At 55.5% G+C, this 21,152-nt stretch overlaps 2 protein-coding genes and 2 long non-coding RNA genes across 14 annotated transcripts, besides 5 other annotated features; 2 read left to right on the top strand and 2 right to left on the bottom strand.

Annotated features, from left to right (window-relative positions):
- Window positions 1–1,008: 1,008 nt before the first annotated feature.
- On the bottom strand, window positions 1,009–5,945 carry LOC105372245 (uncharacterized). Of its 4 annotated transcripts, none has more exons than XR_936262.3 (4): window positions 5,906–5,945; window positions 5,017–5,109; window positions 4,447–4,702; window positions 1,009–2,125 (listed from the first exon to the last, which is right to left on the bottom strand). It is a non-coding gene; the product is annotated as an uncharacterized LOC105372245 (long non-coding RNA). The 4 variants fall into 4 exon arrangements; XR_936263.3 differs by lacking the exon at window positions 5,906–5,945 and adding an exon at window positions 5,655–5,829; XR_936260.3 differs by lacking the exon at window positions 5,906–5,945 and having other exon boundaries at window positions 5,017–5,174.
- Window positions 1,275–1,384: an enhancer, noted in NCBI's record as "active region_13735". NCBI's record gives its function as "activates an Ori minimal core promoter by ATAC-STARR-seq in GM12878 lymphoblastoid cells {active_cell/tissue: GM12878}" and the evidence as "EXISTENCE:reporter gene assay evidence [ECO:0000049][PMID:35858748]".
- On the top strand, window positions 1,386–11,236 carry DOHH (deoxyhypusine hydroxylase). 3 transcript variants are annotated; one of them, NM_001145165.2, is made up of 5 exons: window positions 1,386–1,499; window positions 5,174–5,519; window positions 7,956–8,032; window positions 9,561–9,798; window positions 10,249–11,236. In NM_001145165.2, exons 2-5 carry the CDS (start codon window positions 5,246–5,248, stop codon window positions 10,566–10,568), a joined length of 909 nt encoding a protein of 302 aa, NP_001138637.1. In that variant the 5' UTR covers window positions 1,386–1,499; window positions 5,174–5,245; the 3' UTR covers window positions 10,569–11,236. The 3 variants fall into 3 exon arrangements, with proteins under 3 accessions (NP_001138637.1, NP_112594.1, XP_011526643.1); NM_031304.5 differs by having other exon boundaries at window positions 1,386–1,527; XM_011528341.3 differs by lacking the exons at window positions 9,561–9,798; window positions 10,249–11,236 and adding an exon at window positions 8,149–9,545.
- Window positions 7,718–7,918: a silencer, noted in NCBI's record as "peak3248 fragment used in MPRA reporter construct". NCBI's record gives its function as "represses an SCP1 promoter by STARR-seq MPRAs in K562 erythroleukemia cells {active_cell/tissue: K562}" and the evidence as "EXISTENCE:reporter gene assay evidence [ECO:0000049][PMID:32103011]".
- LOC105372246 (uncharacterized) lies at window positions 10,699–19,082 on the bottom strand. 6 transcript variants are annotated; one of them, XR_936264.2, is made up of 5 exons: window positions 18,774–19,082; window positions 13,805–13,932; window positions 11,650–11,968; window positions 11,444–11,538; window positions 10,699–10,785 (listed from the first exon to the last, which is right to left on the bottom strand). It is a non-coding gene; the product is annotated as an uncharacterized LOC105372246 (long non-coding RNA). The 6 variants fall into 6 exon arrangements; XR_007067095.1 differs by lacking the exon at window positions 18,774–19,082 and adding an exon at window positions 14,529–14,906; XR_007067096.1 differs by lacking the exons at window positions 13,805–13,932; window positions 18,774–19,082 and adding an exon at window positions 14,529–14,906.
- Window positions 16,861–16,910: a silencer, noted in NCBI's record as "silent region_9846". NCBI's record gives its function as "represses an Ori minimal core promoter by ATAC-STARR-seq in GM12878 lymphoblastoid cells {active_cell/tissue: GM12878}" and the evidence as "EXISTENCE:reporter gene assay evidence [ECO:0000049][PMID:35858748]".
- Window positions 16,921–16,970: a silencer, noted in NCBI's record as "silent region_9845". NCBI's record gives its function as "represses an Ori minimal core promoter by ATAC-STARR-seq in GM12878 lymphoblastoid cells {active_cell/tissue: GM12878}" and the evidence as "EXISTENCE:reporter gene assay evidence [ECO:0000049][PMID:35858748]".
- Window positions 18,303–18,841: an enhancer, noted in NCBI's record as "H3K27ac-H3K4me1 hESC enhancer chr19:3483217-3483755 (GRCh37/hg19 assembly coordinates)". NCBI's record gives its function as "activates a minimal SCP1, AML or CMV promoter by ChIP-STARR-seq in naive H9 embryonic stem cells {active_cell/tissue: H9 hESC(naive)}" and the evidence as "EXISTENCE:reporter gene assay evidence [ECO:0000049][PMID:30033119]".
- Window positions 18,619–19,950, top strand: SMIM44 (small integral membrane protein 44). Its single transcript, NM_001395954.1, has 2 exons — window positions 18,619–18,858; window positions 19,009–19,950. Exons 1-2 carry the CDS (start codon window positions 18,657–18,659, stop codon window positions 19,254–19,256), a joined length of 450 nt encoding a protein of 149 aa, NP_001382883.1. The 5' UTR covers window positions 18,619–18,656; the 3' UTR covers window positions 19,257–19,950.
- The last annotated feature ends 1,202 nt before the right edge of the window (window positions 19,951–21,152 follow it).

Here is a 21,152-nt window from a genome sequence, read left to right as displayed (position 1 = left end):
CTTGAACTCCTGGACTCAAGCTATCAAGCCACCTGAGTAGCTGGGCCTACAGGCATGAGCCACCAGGCACAGTTGATTTTTTTTTTTTTTTTTTGGAAATGGAGTCTTGCTCTGTTGCCCAGGCTGGAGTGCAGTGACAGGATCTCAACTCACTGTAACCTGTGTCTCCCAGGCTCAAGCGATTCTCCTGCCTCAGCCACCCAAGTAGCTGGGATTACAGGCTGAGCCACTGCGCCCAGCCAAATTAAAAAAAATTTTTTTTCTGTTGAGACGGGGGCTTACCACATTGCCCAGGCTGGTCTTGGAATCTTGGGCTCAATCGATCATCCTCTCACCCCACAGCCTCCCAAAGTGCCAGGATTACAGGTATGAGCCACCACTCCTGGCAGTCACCCACATTTTAAAAATAAGAGATTGCAAGCAGGGCACAGTAGCTCACGCCTGTAATCCCAGCACTTTGGGAGGCCAAGGCAGGTGGATCACCTGAGGTCAGGAGTTTGAGACCAGCCTGGCCAACATAGTGAAACCCTGTCTCTACTAAAAATACAAAAAGTTAGCTGGTGTGGTGTTGCATGCCTGTAATCCCAGCTACTCGGGAAGCTGAAGCCTTTTTGTATTTTTAGTAGAGATGGGGGTTTCACCATGTTGGCCAGGCTGGTCTCGAACTCCTGACCTCAAGTGATAACACCCACCTCGGCCTCCCAAAGTGTTGGGATTACCGGTGTGAGCCACCGTACCCGGCCTCTTTCAGGTCTTTCTTCAGATGTCACCACCTCAGATTCTGGCCACCCTTCCTGAAACTGCACACCCTATACATACACCGCCCTTGGCTACCGAATTTTTTCTCGTTAGCCTTTTTCACCATCTAATAGGTATTGCATTTACTTATCGTGTTATTTTCTGTCTCTATAACAACACTGGGAGGCGTACGAGGGTAAGGGCTGAAGGCTCTCTTGTCCTCAAGGCCATGTACTATTTATTACATACATGAATGAATGAACGACTGCATTTCTTCCTTTTTTTATTCCTCACCTACTTAAGGTTCGAGCTCCCTGAGCCCATTGGCCAACACCTCTGGAGTCTGACCACGCCTAGAAACACTGCGCATGCTCCGTTGCTAGCCAGCCCAGGCAGGGCGCTGAATCGGCACAAACCAGTCTCACTTCTTGTACCGCAGTGGGGAGGTTGGAGAGAATTTTTTCCCATGAAAGGGCATACGTTGCCCGTCCCCTTCCCCGAAGAACGCACTAGGAATACTGTTCCTGCGTTTGCATGAGCTGTGGCACCAGCACCGACTCAGCCTTCCGGGCCTCCCTCATGCACGGAGCCTCTCACTAGGTCTCACCCGCGGCTGCGTTGGTGCCGTCCGGCACGGTCACGTGGGCGAGAAAATGGCGGCCCCCAGACCGCACTGCGGGCGTCGCGGCAGGTGAAGCGGTGGTGGCAGAGGCGCCTGCGGTTACTGGCCGGGCCGACGGGTCCTGAGTCTCCAGAGCTCGGTGAGGCGTCCCGGAGGCGGCGATCACGGTGTGGGGCCCGGGTCTGGCGGGCGGTGGCACCGGGAGCGCCTCGTTAGGGAATCCGGTCTCAGGGATTCGTTGACTGTGGATGGGGCGGGTTAAGGGGTCTCGAGTCCCGGCGATCTCTTTCCTCTGGGATTTTTTACATGAAAGAGTGCCCACCTCACGTCCTGAAGCTCCTATGTCGTACGGTTGGGTCTCAATGGTCCCCAGTGCCCTGCCAGCTCGCACAGGCCTGCCCTCTGGTTTCTGATGACCCCTCTTTAAAGGTGTCACTCTCCTTTGATGGTCACCTGTGCTTAGGTGGCTACACTGCCCTCGTCAAGCCCAGGCAGCCTTGCTGACGCCACTGTTCACCAGAGAGGGCTGCCAGCATGCCATAGCCAGCCTGTCTTGAGATGAAGCATCCGCCAGGTTCTCAGCCGATCTGGAAAGAGAGGGGTCCCTTCTCCCCTTGGCTGTGTTCTTTTATCCTAAGTCATTCAACAAAGCGTTGGTGGTTTAGAGCCCGACTCTGGAGCCAGACTTCCTGGATTCCTAACTCTTCACGCTGCTCCCAAGCAAGTTCCCAAGCACAGTCCCAAACTGTGCCTCAGTTTCCTCACCTGTAAAATGGGGACAATCTTAGTAACTACCTCACAGGGTAGTGATGTAGATCGAATGAATTAATGAATGTAAAGAGCATGGAGTGCCTGGCGCGTAGCAAATGCTACATAAGTGTCAGCTGCTATTGTCACGGTTGTCGTTTTTATTTTATTTATTTATTTTGAGACAGGGTCTTGCTTTGTAGCTCAGTCTGGAATGCAATGGCACGATCTCGGCTCACTGCAACCTCCGCCTCTCGAGTTCAGGCGATTCTCCTACCTCAGCCTCCCGAGTAGCTGGGATTACAGGCGCCCACCACCACGCCCAGCTAATTTTTGTATTTTTAGTAGAGATGGGGTTTCACCATGTTGGTCAGCTGGTCTCGAACTCCTGAACTCAGATGGTCTGTCCACCTCGGCCTCCCAAAGCGCTGGGATTACAGGCGTGAGCCACCGCGCCCAGCCGGTTATTGTTTTTATTGAGGCCCTACTGCGTGCAGGTCATTGCACTAAGTGCTGGGAATACAACAGTGACCAAGATAGACTCAGTCCCAGCCTTCAGAGTTCTATTCTAATGAGGGATAAGACCAATCACAAGCAACTAAACCAATACTTTCCAATATGATATCTAGGAGTCTTAGGCGCCGTGGAGAAAAATAAAGCTGAATAAGTGAAAAGAGATGGAAGAGTAACATTGTCCATTGTGATCAGGGAAGGCTTCCATGAGGAAGTGATGTTGGAGACCCAGGAAAGCAAGAGGATGAGCACGGGTGTTCCTGGACCAAACTGAGGGTCGGGCTGCTATTTCTCATGGTCCAATAACGAGATGCAGATTAACTGGGGAGGAAGAGAGTTTTTATTTCTGTAACCGGTTACAGGGAGAAGGCCTGGAAAATATCGCCAGACCAACTCAAAATGACAAAGTTTTCCAGAGCTTATATACCCTCTAAGCTCTCCATCTACATGTAACTGAGCATCCATCTAAAGACTTAAAGTGACTAACTTCTTTTAATCTATAACTAAGATCTGAATCCTGAAGACTTTCCTTTGGAACCTCAGTAAATTTACTTAATCTAAATGGGTCCAGGTGCTGGGGTGATCACCCTTATCTCATCTCCAGTGGGTCCAGGTGCTGGGGTGATCATCCTTATCTTGTCTCCTGCTAAATCATGGAGGTTTGGGGAGTTCTTCAGACACCCAGTAAAACTTGTTTCATCCTAAACGGGTCACATTAAGAATTCCTTCGTTATTGGCTGGGTGTGGTGGCTCAAGCCTGTAATTCCAGCAGTTTGGGAGGCTGAGGCGGGTGGATCACCTGAGGTTGGGAGTTCGAGACCAGCCTGACCAACATGGAGAAACCCTGTCTCTACTAAAAATACAAAATTAGCCGGGCATGGTGGTGCATGCCTATAATCCCAGATACTCGGGAGGCTGAGGCAGGAGAATCACTTGAACCCTGGAAGCATAGGTTGTGGTGAGCCGAGATAATGCCACTACACTCCAGCCTGGGCAAAAGAGCGAAACTCTGTCTCAAAAAAAAAAAAATTCCTTCATTATCTTGTCATGCCTTAAGGCCCAGGAAAGGCCTGGGCAAAACTCTTCATGGGCTTTTGTTACATTCCAGCCTTTGTATGAGGGCACTGGCTCTTTTAGCTTTTAATGTTTAACTTAACCACTCAGTCAGTGCTGAAACAGTTATGGAGGCCTGTGTTAGTGAGGCCTGGCCTGCTACGTGGGGACATCTAGGGAAGAATGTTCCTCATGGAGATCACAGCAAATGCAAAGGCCCTAGGGCTGCACTGGGCCTGGCGTGTTGGAGGAACAGCGAGGAGGCCTGTGTGGCTGGAGTGGAGCTAGAGAGGGAAGAGGTGATGGGAGATGGTCATGAAGGGCCTTTGGGACTGTCAAGTAGTTGAGTGAGGAGGCATAGGAGGATTTTAAGCAAGGGAGTGATATGGTCCAGTTTACATATTGAAAGTACTTCTGAATCTGTTATCTAAGCTGTGTAACAAAAATCCCCATAATGGCTGGGGGTAGTGGCTGATGCCTGTAATCCTAATGCTTTGGGAGGCTGAGGCAGGATGATCACTTGAGCTTGGGAGTTGGAGACCAGCCTGGGCAACATAGAAGTGAGACCCCATCTCTACAAATAATAAAAAAAAAATTAGCTGGGCATGCTGGTGTGTGCCTGTAGACACAGCCACTAGGAAGTCTGAGGCAGGAGGATCACTTGAGACTGGGAGTTCGAGGCTACAGTGAGCCGTGATCATGCTGCCGTACTCCAGCCTGGCGACAGAACAAGATCCTGTCTCAAAAACAAACAAAAAAACATACTTGGTTACCTTCAACAACAGTAAACAGTGTCGCACACAGTTGCTCTGGGCCTGGCTTAGCTGGCTGGCTCTGGGTCTGGCCTCTGGTAAGGCCTCAGTGGAGACGCTCTGGGGCTGCATCATCTGAAGGTTCGCTTGGGGCTGGACGAGCTGCTGCCAGCCCACTTCTCTCACATGGCTGTTGGTGGGAGGGCTCAGTTTTTTGCCACGTGGGCCCCTACAAAAGACTGCTTGAGCATCCTCACAACATGGTCACTGGCTTCCCCTAGAGAGAGAACAAGGATGAGACTGTTGTGCTTTTTATGCCCTAACCTTGGAAGTCTTGCTCTGTTCCATCTTCTTGGCATTCACATGGGTCAGCCCTGTTCAGAGTGGGAGAGGACTATATAAAGCCTTGAATATTGGGTGGGGATCGCTATATAAAGCCTTGAATATTGGGTGGGGATCGCTAGGGCCATTTTGGGGGTCAGCTGTCCCTCTGGCTGCTGTGTGGAGAGCAGACAGTGGAGGTCATTTCTGATAGGCCTATAGGCGAGAGGCAGTGCAGAGACTGAGGCCCAGAGAGGGAAAGCAACTTACGGAAGGCTGCACAGCTAGTAGGGAGGTTGGAGCTGAGCTTTCAGCGTAGATGCTCAGGTTGGTCAGTGGGTAGGAATTTGCCCCACCCAGGTCCTAGGAACAGACAACGCACTGGTGAAGGGGGCTTCTAACCTGGGCTCTCATTTTTCTGCCACAGGTTCTTACATCCCCGCGTCCCCAGGTTTAGCCTGAGCAGGGTTGTGGAAGGCCGGGACCCATTGACAGCACGATGGTGACGGAGCAGGAGGTGGATGCCATCGGGCAGACGCTGGTGGACCCCAAGCAGCCCCTGCAGGCCCGCTTCCGGGCGCTGTTCACGCTGCGTGGGCTCGGCGGCCCAGGCGCCATTGCATGGATCAGCCAGGCCTTCGATGACGATTCCGCCCTGCTCAAGCACGAGCTGGCCTACTGCCTGGGCCAGATGCAGGATGCCCGCGCCATCCCCATGCTGGTGGACGTGCTGCAAGACACCCGTCAGGAGCCCATGGTGCGCCATGAGGCAGGTGAGCACCTGTCTGTGTCCCGGGCACCTGCTCCCTCCTGCCTCACTTCTTCATGACCCCACGTGTCCCCTTCCTCACTCAGGTGATAAATATCAGAGTGGTCAACTGCCCCATAGAGCACCAGATAGTAAATACCTGCAGCTCTGCAGCCAGACAGCGACTCAATAAAGCCAGCGCAGGTCATCTGTCACCAAATGGCTAAGGCTGTGTGCCCAGACAACCTCAACTGGGCAGGGGGCGGTGGCTCAGGCCTGTAATCTTAGCACTTTGGGAGGCCCAGGAAGGTGGATCGTTTGAACTCAGGAGTTCAAGACCATCCTGGGCAACATGGCAAAACCCTGTCTCTAGAAAAAATACAAAAATTAGCCAGGCATGGTGGCATGCACCTGTAGTCGCAGCCACTTGGGAGGCTGAGGCGGGAGAATCGCTGGAGCCCGGGAAGTCAAGGTTGCAGTGAGCCATGATCGTGCCACCGCACTCCAGCCTGGGCAACAGAGTGAGATCCTGTCTGTGAAAAAACAAAAAACAAACTTCATTTGTAAATGCTGAGATTTGAATTTCATATAAATTCCACCCATCAGGAAGTACTATCCCTTTGATTTTTTGTTTTAAACCATTTATTTGTTTGTTTTGAGTCAGAGTCTCACTCTGTCGCCCAGGCTGGGGTACTGTGGTGCCGTCTTGGCTCACTGCAACCTCTGCCTCCCGGGTTCAAGTGATTCTCCTGCCTTAGCCTCCCAAGTAGATAGCGTTACAGGTGTGTGCCACCACGCCTGGGTAATTTTTGTATTTTTAGTAGAGATGGGTTTTGCCATGTTGGCCAGGCTGGCCTTGAACTCCTGGCCTCAAGTGATCCACCTGCCTCGGCCTCCCAAAGTGCTGGGATTACAGGCATGAGCCATCGCACCCCGCCTTAAACCCTTAAAAGTGTTTTAAAAACCATTCTTTGCTCGTATAAAAACAAGCGACAAGCCATAGATCCCCAATCCCTAATGTATATTAGATTTACTCCACTCATTGGACACACATTTAGTGAGCACCTACTGTATGCCAGGCTCTGTCATGTAGTAAGAGACAAAACAGTGACAATACAGATACAAGCCGGGCATCGTGGCTCACGCGTGTGGTCCCAACTACTCAGGAGGCTGAGGCAGGAGGATTACTTGAGCCAGGGAGGTTGAGGCTGCAGTTAGCCATGATCATGCCACTGCACTCCAGCTTGGGCAACAGAGTGAGACCCTGTCTCAAAAAAATGGACTGTTCAGGTCGGGTGCATTGGCTCACGCCTGTAATCCCAGCACTTTGGGAGGCTGAGGCGGGTGGATCACCTGAGGTCAGGAGTTCAAGACTAGCCTGGCCAACATGGTGAAACCCCGTCTCAACTAAAAATACAAAAAAAAGTAGCTGGGCGTGGTGGCCGGCGCCTGTAATCCCAGCTACTTTGGGAGGCTGAGGCAGGAGAATCACTTGAACCCAGGAGGCGGAGTTTTCAGTGAGTGGAGATCGCGCCATTGTACTCTAGCCTGGGTCACAAGAGCGAAGCTCTAAAAAAAAAAAAAAAATGGACTGTTGTAGCGAGGGACCTAGACAGCGAAGGAGACCAGTGAGGCAGGTAGTTGGTGCGTCTGTGCCACTGGGACTGTGTTTCTGTAACCAGTGAGCTCATTTGCAATTAGCGCGTGGGAGGTGCCTGACACAGAGCCTGTGTTGGCGCATACGGGACTTTTCCCGGCAGAGGGAGCCTGCCAGGCAGGTGCACAAACGCAAACCGCAACCTTCAGGAAAGGCAAAAGCCACCAGCTCAGCTGCCTCACAGGCAGGGCCCTTGAGCTCGATTCTGAGAAAATTCAAGGAACATCTGCACCCAGGGCTCTACGGGGAGCCGCCGCCAGCCTTGCTCCGACCTGGGCTTGCGACGCCTGCACTTGCGCCTGTACCCGAACCCACCTAAGTGTAGCCCCAGTGGCCCCAAATTCTGGAGTCTCCAGCCGGCAGGCCCGGCCTGTTTTGGGAATTTTTTTTGTTTGTTTTTTTGAGACAGGGTCTCACTCTGTCGCCCATGCTGGAGTACAGTGGTGTGATCATAGCTCACTGCACCCCCGACCTCCTGGGTTCTTGGAGCTGCTTGTCAGCTGTGATCCCGAGTTGTAGGGATATACTTGTCTCCCTGTCTCATGGTACGGGCCGGGATGGGGTCCATTTTGCTCTGAGCGGCAGCCAGGTGCGGTTCCAGGCAGTGCCTTGCTCTGGGGAGGGGATGCTGATTGGTCCAGCGGGGAGCCTGTACCGACTGCTGCTCCAATCAGCCGTGGACAGAGGCGGGGCTTCCCCACAGTGGCAGAGCCCTGGGAGGGGTGTCCTCCGGTCCCAGAGGTAGCCGGGCATTTTCCACACATCCACCCCACCAACATGAGCTCTCCGGCTGCTTCTTCCCAGGGGAGGCCCTGGGGGCCATCGGGGACCCGGAAGTTCTGGAGATCCTGAAGCAGTATTCCTCGGACCCCGTCATCGAGGTAACCAGGCCCCTGCTTGTCTCCCTGCCAGTCTCGGGTCCCTGGGAAGCCCTGCCCAGCCCTGCCCCAGCCCTGACCTGGAGCAGCCTCAGACCCTCCCCATCTCTGGTTGCCAGGGCGACCACTTGGCCAAGGATGCCCCAGGGATGAGGAAGGCGAGGGCGACAATCTGGACAGACACTTGCTGCGCCCCATTTGGCAAAACGGCGACAACCAGCTTTGCTCACCCGCTTCCATCCCGGGCCTTGAGCCCCTGAGCCGGCCTGACCCCCTTTCTCTGAACCCCCACGTCCAGTCCCTCTGCCAAGACCCCTCTGAACCCACCCAGTGCCCTCTACCTCTGATACCTTGTCCTGGCCCACCAGACCTCTTCAGAGATCTCCTGCTACCTTCCAACATTTCTTCTTTTTTTTTTTTGAGACGGTGTCTCGCTCTGTCGCCCAGGCTGGAGTGCAGTGGGCGCGATCTCGGCTCACTGCAAGCTCTGCTTCCCAGGTTCATGCTATTCTCCTGCCTCAGCCTCCAGAGTAGCTGGGACTACAGGCGCCTGCCACCACGCTCAGCAAATCTTTTCGTATTTTTAGTAGAGACGGGGTTTCACCATGTTAGCCAGGATGGTCTCGATCTCCTGACCTCGTGATCCACCCGCCTTGGCCTCCAAAGTGCTGGGATTACAGGCGTGAGCCACCGCGCCTGGCCCAAAAATGAAACAAATTTTTATTTTATTAGTTTTTTCTTTATAGAGATGAAGTCCCGCTCTGTCGCCCAGGCTGGTGTTGAACTCCTGGGCTCAAGCGATCCTCCTGCCTTGGTCTCCCTAACTGCTGGGATTAGGGGCATGAGCCGCTTCGGCCGGCCCGTCATTCCTTTTTGTGGCTGAGTCACGTTCCGTGGTGTGGACGGCCCATGCTGTGTCCACTCACTGTGGCTGGATGCTTGAATTGTCTCTGCTTTTTAGCTGTTATGAGTTATGCCGCCACGGACATGCATGTTCCTTTCTCCCCTGCCACTTCTTGTCCACATCCCACCCCGACCCTCAGTCTCTCCTCCTCCGGGGCAGCCGGGGGTACGTGTGACACTCAATTCTGCTGTTCTGTTCCATGCTTAAAGCTCTCACGATATCTCATCACCTTTAGGACAAAATCCCAAGCCCTTACAGTGGCCCGCAGGCCTTACCTGGTCAGGTGGGGCCGCACATGTTCCTTTGGCCCTCACCCCTCCCGCAGGGTCCTGCCTCAGGGCCTTTCCACCGCTGCTTCCCCATCCCCGGGTCTCCACCTGATTCCCTCCCTAAGCTGGCTTAGGTCTCTGCCTCCACATCACCTCCTCCCTGAGGCCCTCCCCAGCCCTCCAGTCCCCCGGTCACTCACAAGTCAGCCACCCCTGCTGGCTTACTTCCTGCCTGGAATGATGGGTTAGTCACCCTGCCAGTGTCTCTCTCCCCTGCTAAGCTGCCATCCCGGGGGGTGGGGAAGGGCCCCTGCGACCCCCCAGGGCCAACCCGCTGCCTGATACCCCCTCCCCGCAGGTGGCCGAGACCTGCCAGCTGGCCGTGCGCAGGCTGGAGTGGCTGCAGCAGCACGGCGGGGAGCCGGCGGCGGGACCCTACCTCTCCGTGGACCCTGCCCCGCCGGCTGAGGAGCGTGACGTGGGGCGCCTGCGGGAGGCGCTGCTGGATGAGTCCCGGCCGCTCTTCGAGCGATACCGCGCCATGTTCGCCCTGCGCAACGCGGGAGGCGAGGAGGCCGCCCTGGCGCTGGCCGAGGGTGAGGAGGGGCTTCTGGGGTGGGGTCCTGGGCAGTGCCTCGCTGTGAGGTTCAGTGATGGCATCTGTGCAGTGGGGCCGCGGCCTGCCCCCGGGAACGGCATCCCGGGCCTGGCCCCAAGCATTTCCCATGGGGCCTCTTAAGAACCCGTGCAAGCGTCCCTCTTGGTCCCCATAGCTCCCAGCTTTTCCCGCCCCCATAGCTGCGGTCAGTTCCCCCGGGCATCCCTAATCACTGGGGCTGGGGGCAGGGGTGTCTTCAAGGTAGAACACCCCAGGTTGGGCGTGGTGGCTCACGCCTGTCGTCCCAGCACTTTGGGAGGCCGGGATGGGAAGATCGCCAGGACTTTGTGACCTGCCTGGGCAAGATAGCAAGACCCCATGTCTTCGAAAAGACAGAGCTCCCCTTCCCACCCCTCCTGGCCCCAGCGAGTGTCCCTCTCCCCTGCAGGTCTGCACTGTGGGAGCGCCCTCTTCCGCCACGAGGTCGGCTACGTCCTGGGACAGCTGCAGCACGAGGCGGCGGTGCCCCAGCTGGCGGCCGCCCTGGCCCGATGCACCGAGAACCCCATGGTGCGGCACGAGTGCGCGGAGGCCCTGGGCGCCATTGCCCGGCCCGCCTGCCTGGCCGCGCTGCAGGCTCACGCGGACGACCCAGAGCGCGTGGTGCGTGAGAGCTGCGAGGTGGCTCTGGACATGTATGAGCACGAGACCGGGCGGGCCTTCCAGTACGCGGACGGCCTGGAGCAGCTGCGCGGGGCCCCCTCCTAGGGCCCCACCCTCACCCGGAGCTCCCGGAGGACTCTTGAGGGCCGCTCCTCCCCCGCAGAGCTTTGGCGTCTAAACCGGGTGTGTGTAAATCGGTGTCATCGCTTGTGTCTTGCTGGGCGCATGGTTGCTGTCCCCCTCCTCCGTCTGGGACCGAGGAGCTGCCGTTGTGCTGTGACTCCCTGAGTCCCCTGACTGCTCCTCGGGGCCTGGCGCAGGGCTGTAGCGTGGAAGTTTCCAGGCTTGGGGTGGGACTCTGCGGGAGGCTCTGGGATGCCCGGCTCAGGACAGGGGAGGATTGCGAGGGAAGCCAGGGGAGGATCGCGAGGGAAGCCAGGGGAGGATCGCGAGGGAAGCCAGGGGAGGATCGCGAGGGAAGCCAGGGGAGGATCGCGAGGGAAGCCAAGGGAGGATCGCGAGGGGAGCCAGGGGAGGATCGCGAGGGAAGCCAGGGGCAGAGCTGGGGCTCTGGGAAGAGGCTGACGTTATGGTGGCTTCAGCTTCACTAGGAATGGGACACAGGGTCTGGGGGCCTCTGACTCCCCCACCCCGAGGCCTGGGTAGGGACAGGGTGGTGGTCCCTGAGTGGGTCAGGTAGGGCACAGGGGCCAGGGAGGGACAAGCAGACCTCAGAGCGCTGCCCAGATGGAATATTAAATTATTTTTGCCAAGCACTGACTCCTCTGAGTGTGTTGGGTGAGGGGAGCGTGGGAGGGAGGGAGGGGTGGGGGCTTTCAGGGAACGTTCCCCGAGAGTGTGTGGCGTCTGGGCGGGGAGACGGTTGTATCCGCAGCCATTGGCTCTAGGATCTGTCCTGCTGCTGACACTGAGCCACCACCAGCGACAGGCAGGCCTGCACCTGTTTTATGTGCGGTTACCTGGTCAGATCTGCCCAGCCAGCTCCCTCCAAGTGGGCTCTGGGGAAACAGCCCTCCAGCCTGGCCCTTCCCGGACCCCCGTCTTCCCCCAGCTCCTGTTGTGGGTGCAGTGGAAGGGGTTCTGTGGTCCAGCTGAGAGCCCAGACATGGCTTCCTCCGCCGGCTCCCGCAGCCCTTCCATGTGTGGCTGGGGACAGCCCACTTACCTCTCTGTAAAATAGGCATAGCGGTAGAATCTCAGGTGCAGAGCTCCTGGTCTGCAGCCAGAGAGGCCAAAACCAGAAGACAGGAGGCAAAACGCAACGGGAACCGACTATCCACTGAGCCATGTTCTCCACCGGAGTGCTGGATCCTGCCCCGGGGCATCAGTTTAGCTTGTCATGGGGTGGGGGGTGGGGGTGTGCAGCTGGCATCTAGTCAGGTAGTCGGGGGAGGCCAGGGATGCTGGAAGATAACCTCCAGCACTCGGTCCCCACAACAGAGAATGATCCGGCCCCAAATGAGTGCAGAGGTTGAGAAACCTGCCTGGAAGTCACATGTTTGATTATAGGTTTTTAATTTTAATTTATTTTATTATTTTTGTTGAGATGGAATTTCACTCTTATTACCCAGGCTGGAGTGCAATGGCGTGATCTCGGCTCACTGCAACCTCTGCCTGCCAGGCTCAAGCACTTCTCCTGCCTCAGCTTAACAAGTAACTGGGATTACAGGCATGCACCATCATGCCCAGCTAAATTTTTTTTTTGTTTTTTTTTTTTTTTCGAGATGGAGTCTCGCTCTGTTGCCCAGGCTGGAGTGCAGTGGCACGATCTCCACTCACTGCAAGCTCCGCCTCCCGGGTTCACGCCATTCTCCTGCCTCAGCCTCCCGAGTAGCTGGGACTACAGGCGCACGCTGCCACGCCCGGCTAATTTTTTGTATTTTTAGTAGAAACGGGGTTTCACTGTGTTAGCCAGGATGGTGGATGGTCTCGATCTCCTGCCTCGGCCTCCCAAAGTGCTGGGCTTACAGGTGTGAGCCACCGTACCTGGCCTGTTTGTATTTTTTAGTAGAGACAGGCTTTCACCATGTTGGTCAGGCTGGTCTCAAATTCCTGACCTCAGGTGATCCACCCGCCTCGGCTTCCCAAAGTGCTGAGATTACAGGCATGAGCCACCACACCCAGCCTTTTTTTTGCCTCCCCCCGAGATGGAGTCTTGCTCTGTCACCCAGGCTGGAGTGCATTGGCGTGATCTCAGCTCACTGCAACCTCTGCCTCCCGGGTTCAAGTGATTCTCTTGCCTCAGCCTCCCAAGTAGCTGGGATTACAGGCACGTGCCACCATGCACGCCCAGCTAATTTTTGTATTCTTAGTAGAGATGGGGTTTCACCATGTTGGCCAGGCTGGTCTTGAACTCTTGACCTTGTGATCAGCCCGCCTTGGCCTCCCAAAGTGCTGAGATTACAGACGTGAGCCACTGCGCTTGGCTCACTTTTTTTTTTTTTAAATGGAGAGGGTCTCCCTCTGTCTCCCAGGCTGTAGTGCAGTGGCTGATCACTGCAGCTTACTGCAGCCTCAACCTCCTGGGCTCAAGCGATCCTCCTATCTTGGCCTCCCAAGCAGTTGGGACCTCAGGTTTGCCCCACTGTGCCTGAGTAATATTTGTATTTTTTTGTAGAGACGGGGTCTCAGTATGTTTTGTTCTGTGTTGAGACAGGGTCTCACTCTGTTGCCCAGGCTGGAGTGCGGTGGTGCAATCTCAGCTCATTGCAACCTCTGCCTCCCAGGTTTAAGCAATTCTTGTGCCTCAGCCTGCTGAGTAGCTGGGACTACAGGCACATGCCTCTATGCCTGGCTGATTTTTGTATTTTTAGTAGAGACAGGGTTTCACCATGTTGGCCTGGCTGGTCTTGAACTCCTGGCCTCAAATGATCTGCCCTCCTCAGCCTCCCAAAGTGCTGGGATTATAGATATGAGCCACGTGCCTGGCCATCTTGTTTATGTTTTAGAGACAGAGTGTTGCTCTATTGCCCAGGCTGGAGAGCAGTGGCTCGATCTAAGCTCGCTGCAACTTCTGTCTCCCAGGCTCAAGTGATCCTCCCACCTCAGCCTCCTGAGCAGCCAACATCCATTCTACTATGGTTCCGTGGGGCTCTCTCTCTTGCGATCTGTTCTGTCACTTTCTTGTTGGCCTCCAACCTCCCTCATCCTCACTCAGCTGATGACCTTGCTTTCGGCTTCAGTGAAAAAATCAAGCAGACCTTCCGCACACCCCACCAACAGCTGTGCCCGCCTGCCTGTCCCTGTGCCGTGCATGCTGCCTCCCCTCCTGCCTGCTAACGCTGGCTGATGAACTGTTGGTTCTGCTAGCCAAGACTTACCTAAGATCCTTGTGGCTGTGCAACAGATTACTCCAAACTTAGCAGCTTCAAACAGCTGGACTTGGGTCAAATCGTGTCCCCCGAAAAGGCTTGTCCAGGTGGTAACCCCTGGTACCCATGAATGTGACCTGATTTGGAAATAGAGTCTTTGCAGGTGTTGTTAAGGATCTCAGCATGAGATCATCCTGGATTTAGGGTAGACCCTACATCCAATGACCAGTGTCCTTACAGAGACAGAAAAGTGGACCTGAGCACAGAGGCACATGCCTATAGTCCCAGCTACTCTAGAGGCCAAGGCAGGATCGCTTATGCCCAGGAGTTCAAGACCAGCCTGGGCACCATAGTGAGACCCCCATCTCTTTAATTAAAAAAAAAAAAAAAAAGACAAGGCCGGATGCGGTGGCTCACACCTGTAATCCCAGCACTTTGGGAAGTCAAGGCAGGTGGATCACCTGAGGTCAGGAGTTCGAGACCAGCCTGGACAACATGGTGAAACCCCATCTCTACTGAAAATACAAAAATTAGCTGGGTGTGGTGGTGCATGCCTGTAATCCCAGCTACTCAGGAGGCTGAGGCAGGAGAATCACTTGAACCCAAGAGGCAGAGGTTGCAGTGAGCCGAAATCGTGTGCCATTGCGCTCCAGCCTGGGTGACAAGAGCAAGACTCCATCTTAAATAAAGAAGACAAGAAAACCCCCAGAGACAGAGGAAAGAAGACAGATACCTTTCCTGTGGGTCACGAGTCTGGGAGCAGCAAGCGTATCTGGATGTTTCTGGCTTTGGGTGTTTCATGAAGTTGCAATCAAGCTGTCGGCCAGGGCTGCCTCATCTGAAGGCTCAACTGGGGCCGAAGGAGCCACTTCCAAGGTGGCACCTTCCAATGTGACATTGGCTGCCTGAGCCACCTCTTTTCCTCACCAACTCCTCGTCCTTCTCATCAACTCACAGCCATTACTTCAGCCCTTCCCCCTTTTCTCTCCTGCCTCCTTGGTTTCCTCTCTTTACCCATCAACACAGACCAGCTGCAATGTTTTTAAAACAACAAGAAAAAGCTGGGCACAGTGGCTCACACCTGTAATCCCGGCATTTTGTGAGGCTGAGGCAGGTAGGTCACTTGAGGTCAGGAGTTGGAGACCAGCCTGTCCAACATGGTGAAATCCTGTCTCTGCTAAAAATACAGACATTAACTGGGCATGGTGGCACATGCTTGTAGTCCCAGCTACCTGGAAGGCTGAGGTATGAGAATTGCTTAAACCTGGGAAGTGGAGGTTGCAATGAGCCGAGATGGCCCCACTGCACTCCAGCCTGGGCAACAGAGGGAGAGGGAGTCTTAAAAGAACACCACCACCACCAACAAAACAAAACCCTGGAAAGTAGTCCCAGCTATTTGGGAGGCTGAAGCAGGAGAACCACTTGAACCCGGGAGGCAGAGGTTGCAGTGAGGAGATCATACCACTGCACTCCAGTCTGGGTGACACAGCGAGACTCTGTCTCAAAAACAAACAAAAATATAAAAAGCCACCCTCACCGGGCGCAGTGGCTCACGCCTATAATCCCAGCACTTTGGGAGGCTGCGGTGGGTGGATCAAGAGGTCAGGAGATCGAGACCATCCTGGCTAACACAGTGAAACCCCGTCTCTACTAAAAGTACAAAAAAAAAAATTAGCCGGGCGTGGTGGCGGGCGCCTGTAGTCCCAGCTACTTGGGAAGCTGAAGCAGGAGAATGGCGTGAACCCGGAAGGCAGAGCTTGCAGTGAGCTGAGATCGCGCCACTGCACTCCAGTCTGGGCGACAGAGAGAGACTCTGTCTCAAAATAAAATAAAATCATAAATAAAATAAAATAAAAAGCCACCCCCTTTTTTGTAGAGACAAGATCTAGCTGTGTCACCTAGGCTGGAGTACAGTGGCACAATCTTAGCTCACTCCAGCCTCCAGCTCCTGGGCTTAAGCAATCTTCCTGCCTCAGCCTCTCAAGTCCCTGGGACTACAGACATGAGCCACCACCTGGCAAGGGTCACACTTTTTTTTGTTTGTTTGTTTTTGAGATGGAGTTTCGCTCTGTTGCCCAGGCTGGAGTGTAGTGGCGGGATCTCGGCTCACTGCAACCTCCGCCTCCCGGGTTCAAGCGATTCTCCTGCCTTAGCCTCCCGAGTAGCTGGGATTATAGGCACATGTCACCACGCCTGGCTAATTTTTGTATTTTTAGTAGAGATGGGGTTTCACCATGTTGGTCAGGCTGGTCTTGAACTCCTGACCTCATGATCAGCGTTCCTCAGCCTCCCAAAGTGCTGGGATTACAGGCGTGAGCCACCACGCCCGCCCGGGAAGGCTCACACTTCTACACATTGTTGAATTTCCTCCTCCCAACACCCCAGGAAACTTTACCCACCCCATTGTAGAGAGAAGCCAGGGAACCCTGGAGAGCCAAGGTCATGCTGTGACGGGCAGAGCTGGGATTTGAACCCAGGTCTTCCTCACCACCACCTCCTACTGCCTTGTCCTGGCTTCCCTGGCCCCTGGCTACTTGGAATTCCTTGTGTTTCTCCCCAGGTTTCTCCTCTGCAATGTTCCTAACTCAGGAAATGGCAACACCATCATTGCAGGCATTTAGTCTAAAAACAGATTTTTTTAATGAAAAATCGATCCCAAGGCTGGGTGCGGTGGCACATGCCTGTAATCCCAGCACTTTGTGAGGCTGAGGCAGGAGGATCGCTTGAGCCCAGGAGTTAAAGAGCAGCCTGGGCAACATAGTGAGACCCTGTTCCTATAAAAAAAAATACAGAAAATTAGGTAGGTGTGGGGGCACAGACCTGTAGTCCCAGCTACTCAGGAGGCTGAGGCAGGAGGATCGCTTGAGCCTGGGCAGTCAAGGCTGCAGTGAGCCAAGATCCCACCACTGCACCACTGCACTCCAGCTTGGGTGACAGAGCAAGGCCCTGTCTCAAAAAAAAAAAAAAAAAAAAAAAATGTCCATCTCAAATCTGCCTACTTTCCTTCCACTAGGACCAGCTCAGTCCCCTCCTGGCTCCTCCTCTGGCCCCCATAGTCCGTTCTCCCCAAAGCAGCCACCAGGGGGCACCTGTGAGCACCTGGGTCCGGACCCATCCCTCCTCTGCCCACAGCCCTCCATGGCTCCCACATTCCTCAGGGTCTAGGCCGAAGTCTTCCTCACAGTCTACACGGCCCTGCAGGACCTGCCCTGACAGCTCCCCATCCTCCCCTCCCCCCCACTCCCCCGGCTCACTCTGCTCCAGCCACACTGGCCTCCTCACTGTTCCTCCAACACGCCAGGCACAGTCCTGCCCCAGGGCCTTTGCAGGGGCTGTGCCCTCTGCTTGGAACTCTCTTTCCCCTGGATCTCCCATGGCTGGTTCCCTTTTTCCTCCAGGTCTTTGCTCAAATGTCACCTCCTCAGTGATGCCTTGGCAGCCCAATTTTTTTTTTTTCTTGAGATAGTCTCACTCTGTCACCCAGGTTGTAGTACAGGGGTGCAATCATAGCTCACTGCAGCCTTGAACTCCTGGGCTCAAGCAATCCTCCCACCTCAGCCTCCTGAGTAGCTGGGACTACAGGCACTCACCACGCCTGGCTAGTTTTTAAAGTTTTTGTAGAGATGCAGTCTTGCTATGTTGCCCAGAGAGATCTTGAACTTCTGGATCAAGTGATCCTCTTGCCTCAGCCTCCCAAAGTGCTGGGACTATAGGCGTGAGCCACGGCGCCCAGCCACACCTCCCTTTCTAACCTAATATATCATTTACTCTAAGGTTATGTTTCTTTCTTAGCATCCATCTCCCTCCCTGGAATGTCAGGTTTTGGTCTTTCTTTTTTTTTTTTTTTTTTGTTACGGAGTTTCGCTATGTTGCCCAGGCTGGAGTGCAGTGGGATGATCTCGGCTCACTGCAACCTCCACCTCCCAGGTTCAAGCGATTCTCCTGACTCAGCCTCCCGAGTAGCTGGGACTACAGGCGCCCGCCACCACGCCCAGCTAGGTTTTGCATTTTTAGTAGAGACAGGGTTTCACCATGTTGGCCGGGCTGGTCTCAAACTCCTGTCTCAAGTGATCCGCCCACCTCGGCCTTCCAAAGTGCTGGGATTACAGGCGTGAGCTCCTGCGCCCGGCCTGGTCTTTCTTACTCATAGCTGTGTCCCAGCACCTAAGAGAGTGCCCAGCCATAGTCGCTGCTCAATACATATTCGATGAATGAATGAAGAGCCAGGCACGGTGGCGAGGACCTGTAGTTCCTGCTACTTGGGAGACTGAGGCGGGGGGATCGCTTGAGCCCAGGAGGTTGAGGGTGCAGTGAGCTATGATCGCGTCACTGCACTCCAGCACTCAGGGCGACAGAGCGAGACCCTGTCTCAAAAATAATAATAATATTAGCCAGGCATAGTGGCGGGCACCTGTAATCCCAGCTACTCCGGAGGCTGAGGTGGGAGAATCACTTGCACCCGGGAGGCAGAGGTTGCAGTGAGCTGAGATCTCGCCTTTGCACTCCAGCCTGGGTGACAAGAGTGAAACTCCGTCTCAAGAAAAATTAAATAAATAAAATAAAATAATAAGAATTAAAAAGATGAATGAATGAAGAGAGTGAGCCGGCCATGAGGAAATCTGGGCAGGGCGTTCCTGGGAGAAGGAAGCGCAGGTGCGGAGGCCCCGAGGTGGGGACGGCTGGGCAGAGTCGTGGCTGGAGCTGAGCAGGTAGGTTGCGGGTGGGCGGAAGTGATTTACAATGTGATTAACCCAGGCAGATGGTGGCCGTGGGGCAGCCGCCCAATCCTCTTAGCTCAAAGCCCCTTAATACTTCCGCTGTGTGGGTCACCTCCGGGCCTCCCCTGTGCCGGGCGGACACCATGCCGGGGCTGGCGGCCGAGGGGGAGGCCGAGGGCTGGAGCCCGTCCCCGCCGCTGTACGAGGAGTACCGGCCGCCGCCCCTGGACAGCATCCGCCTGCCCAGGTACGTGCTGTACCTGCTGCTGGCCGCGCTGGTGGTGGTGGCCGTCGCCTACGCCATCGTCGGGCACCTCATCAAAGACCTCGCCCACGACCTGGCCGGTGAGCTGCCCCCACCGAAACCCAGCTGGGGCCGATGCTGGGTCACCCTGGGTGGGTGGTCAGGGGATCCTAGTGCTTCTCCTAGCTGAGGAGGGGACAGAGGAGGGTGGCCGGGGCCGGGGAGTTGCCTCACCAGCTCCCTTGCCGCAGACTGGGCGTTTGGCCCGAAGCCAGACCAGGAGGCCGCACCCCGGGAGCTGCGCCCCAGCCTGACCGGCGAGGACTTGGAGGGGCTGGACCTGCAGCTGGCCCTGGCCTGGCAGGGCGAGGAGGACGCCGGCGGGGGTGGGGAGGGAGCCCCCTCTGAACCCCCGCCTCCCCCGGAGCCCCGCCGCCCCTCCATTGCCTTCAAGGACCCCCCATCCCGAAGCTCCTTCTGGAAGCTGATGGCAACTTGAATCCTGAATCCGGGTTCCGGACGCTTTGGCGGTCGTGTAGACAGAACTTACGCGCGCCGGAGCCCTTTCTGCAAACCCTGAGCTGCCCGGTCGCAGCGGACGGCTTTCTCCTTCCCAGCCGGCAGGTTCCGGGGGTTGGACGCTGGCGACTTTCACATACGCAGAGCCTGCCCGGCTCAGCCTCAGCCAAGCCGTCAGCAAACTGTGAATTAGAAACACTAGGGCGATTTAAAACGTTGTAATATTATCGGCCAACCTTACCGAGTGCTTAGCGTGTACCTGCTGCTGTGCAGAGCAGGCTTTTTCTATGCAGTATCTCATTTAATCCTCCGAGGTAGGACTGATCGCCCCCACTTAACAGATGGGGAAACCGAGGCACGCAGTGATGAAGTGGCTTCGCCAAGGTCTCAGAGCACAGAGTGCTTTTCTCAGAAAAAGCCCAGACAACTGACTGACTTTGGAGGGCAGGATCTCCAAGGCGGGTCCTGCCCCCACCCCCTCTGCTGGGCTCCCCTACCTCCAAATCTTCTCCAGCCCCCGCCTCGGCTGCTGGGTTTGCTTGTCTCTGGGGGGTGGTCCTGACTTCCTAATCAGATCGAGAGCTCCCAGACAGCACCAAGGCCTCCTTCTCTTCCAAGCCCTGCACAAGACGGGATACACAGTCAGAGTTTAATAGATGCCTGCCTGGCTGGTTCAAGCAGACCTGTGGCCATCCTGGGGCTGGGATGTGTGAGCCCCATCCTGCTGAGTGGCCGGTCTGCTCAGCGGTCATCCGCAGACCTCCGGAAGAGAGGAAGTGACAGCGACTCAGCAGGCGCTCCATAAACACCTGTGCGATGACGCCGGGCCTTCCTACCACTCGTCTGGGCCATGGCTGCTCCCGTGTCAGCTGGGGCGGGGTCCCCCTTCGCCCGGGCAGGGCCCACTATCTAATCAGCCGAGGGACCAAGGTTGAGGACAGGAGAGCCTGGAGCCTGAGTCATCAACGCTCCCGGGCATCCCCACGTGAGAGCGTCCCGGTTTGCAGGTGGACCACGGGCATGTGGCCTCTGCACACCTTCCCTGTCCCTGTGTGCTCCCATGGCTGCTTGTGGGTCCTCAGGGGCCAAGAGCCTGGGCGAGGCAGGATAAGCTGGGGGCGAGGCAGACCCGGCTTCAAATCCCAGGTCAGACCTGCTGCGTGACCTTGACTTTCCTGGGCACAATGAGACCGGCACCATTTCACGGGGTGTTAAGAAAAGGAAATGCGATCTGTGAAATTGCCGAGCACGGAGCCTCATGTGTACTCTGAGAGCACAAAAGGTGACTCTCAAATTTGCTTTGAGAGACAAGGTCTTGTTCTGTTGCCCAGGCTGGAGTGCGGTGGTGCATGCAGTGGTGCAGTCGTAGCTCGCTGCAGCCTCGAACTCCTGGGCTCAAGCGATCCTCTCACCTCAGTCTCTTTGAGTAGCTGAGACTACAGGTGCAGGCCACCATGCTCAGCTAAGTTTTACATTTTTTATTTTAGAGACGGGAGGAGGTTGGTCTGGAACTCCTGGCCTCAAGCGATTCTCCCGCCTTAGCCTCCCAGAGTGCTGGGATTACAGGCGTGAGACACTGTACCCAGCCTTGGTAACTCTTTGTATTTCTAATTTTTTTTATTTCCTTTGAGACAGGGTCTTCCTCTGTCACCCAGGCTGGAGTGCGGTGGTGCGGCCATAACTGGCTGCAGCCTCAAACTCCTGGGCTCAAGTGATCCTCCCACTTCAGCACACCCTAGTAGCTGGGCCTGCAGGTGCCCGCCGCGCCTGGCTAATTTTTCTATTTTTGTAGAGGTAGGGCTTGACTAAGTTGCCCAGGTTAGGCTCAAGGATCTGCCCGCGTTGGCCTCTCAATGTAGTGGGATTACAGGTGTGA

Source organism: Homo sapiens, chromosome 19 (genome assembly GCF_000001405.40).
Source record: "Homo sapiens chromosome 19, GRCh38.p14 Primary Assembly".
Taxonomy (NCBI): domain Eukaryota; kingdom Metazoa; phylum Chordata; class Mammalia; order Primates; family Hominidae; genus Homo; species Homo sapiens.
The sequence above is the reverse complement of the archived record's forward strand: the minus strand, read 5'-3'. Positions and strand labels throughout refer to the sequence as shown.

Coding starts and splice junctions, on each gene's coding strand:
- DOHH (NM_001145165.2), top strand. CDS start 5,246: ATGGTGACGGAGCAGGAGGTGGATGCCATCGGGCAGACGCTGGTGGAC. Junction 5,520..7,955: donor CATGGTGCGCCATGAGGCAG/GTGAGCACCTGT, acceptor GCTTCTTCCCAG/GGGAGGCCCTGGGGGCCATC. Junction 9,799..10,248: donor CGCCCTGGCGCTGGCCGAGG/GTGAGGAGGGGC, acceptor TCTCCCCTGCAG/GTCTGCACTGTGGGAGCGCC.
- SMIM44 (NM_001395954.1), top strand. CDS start 18,657: ATGCCGGGGCTGGCGGCCGAGGGGGAGGCCGAGGGCTGGAGCCCGTCC. Junction 18,859..19,008: donor CCTCGCCCACGACCTGGCCG/GTGAGCTGCCCC, acceptor CCCTTGCCGCAG/ACTGGGCGTTTGGCCCGAAG.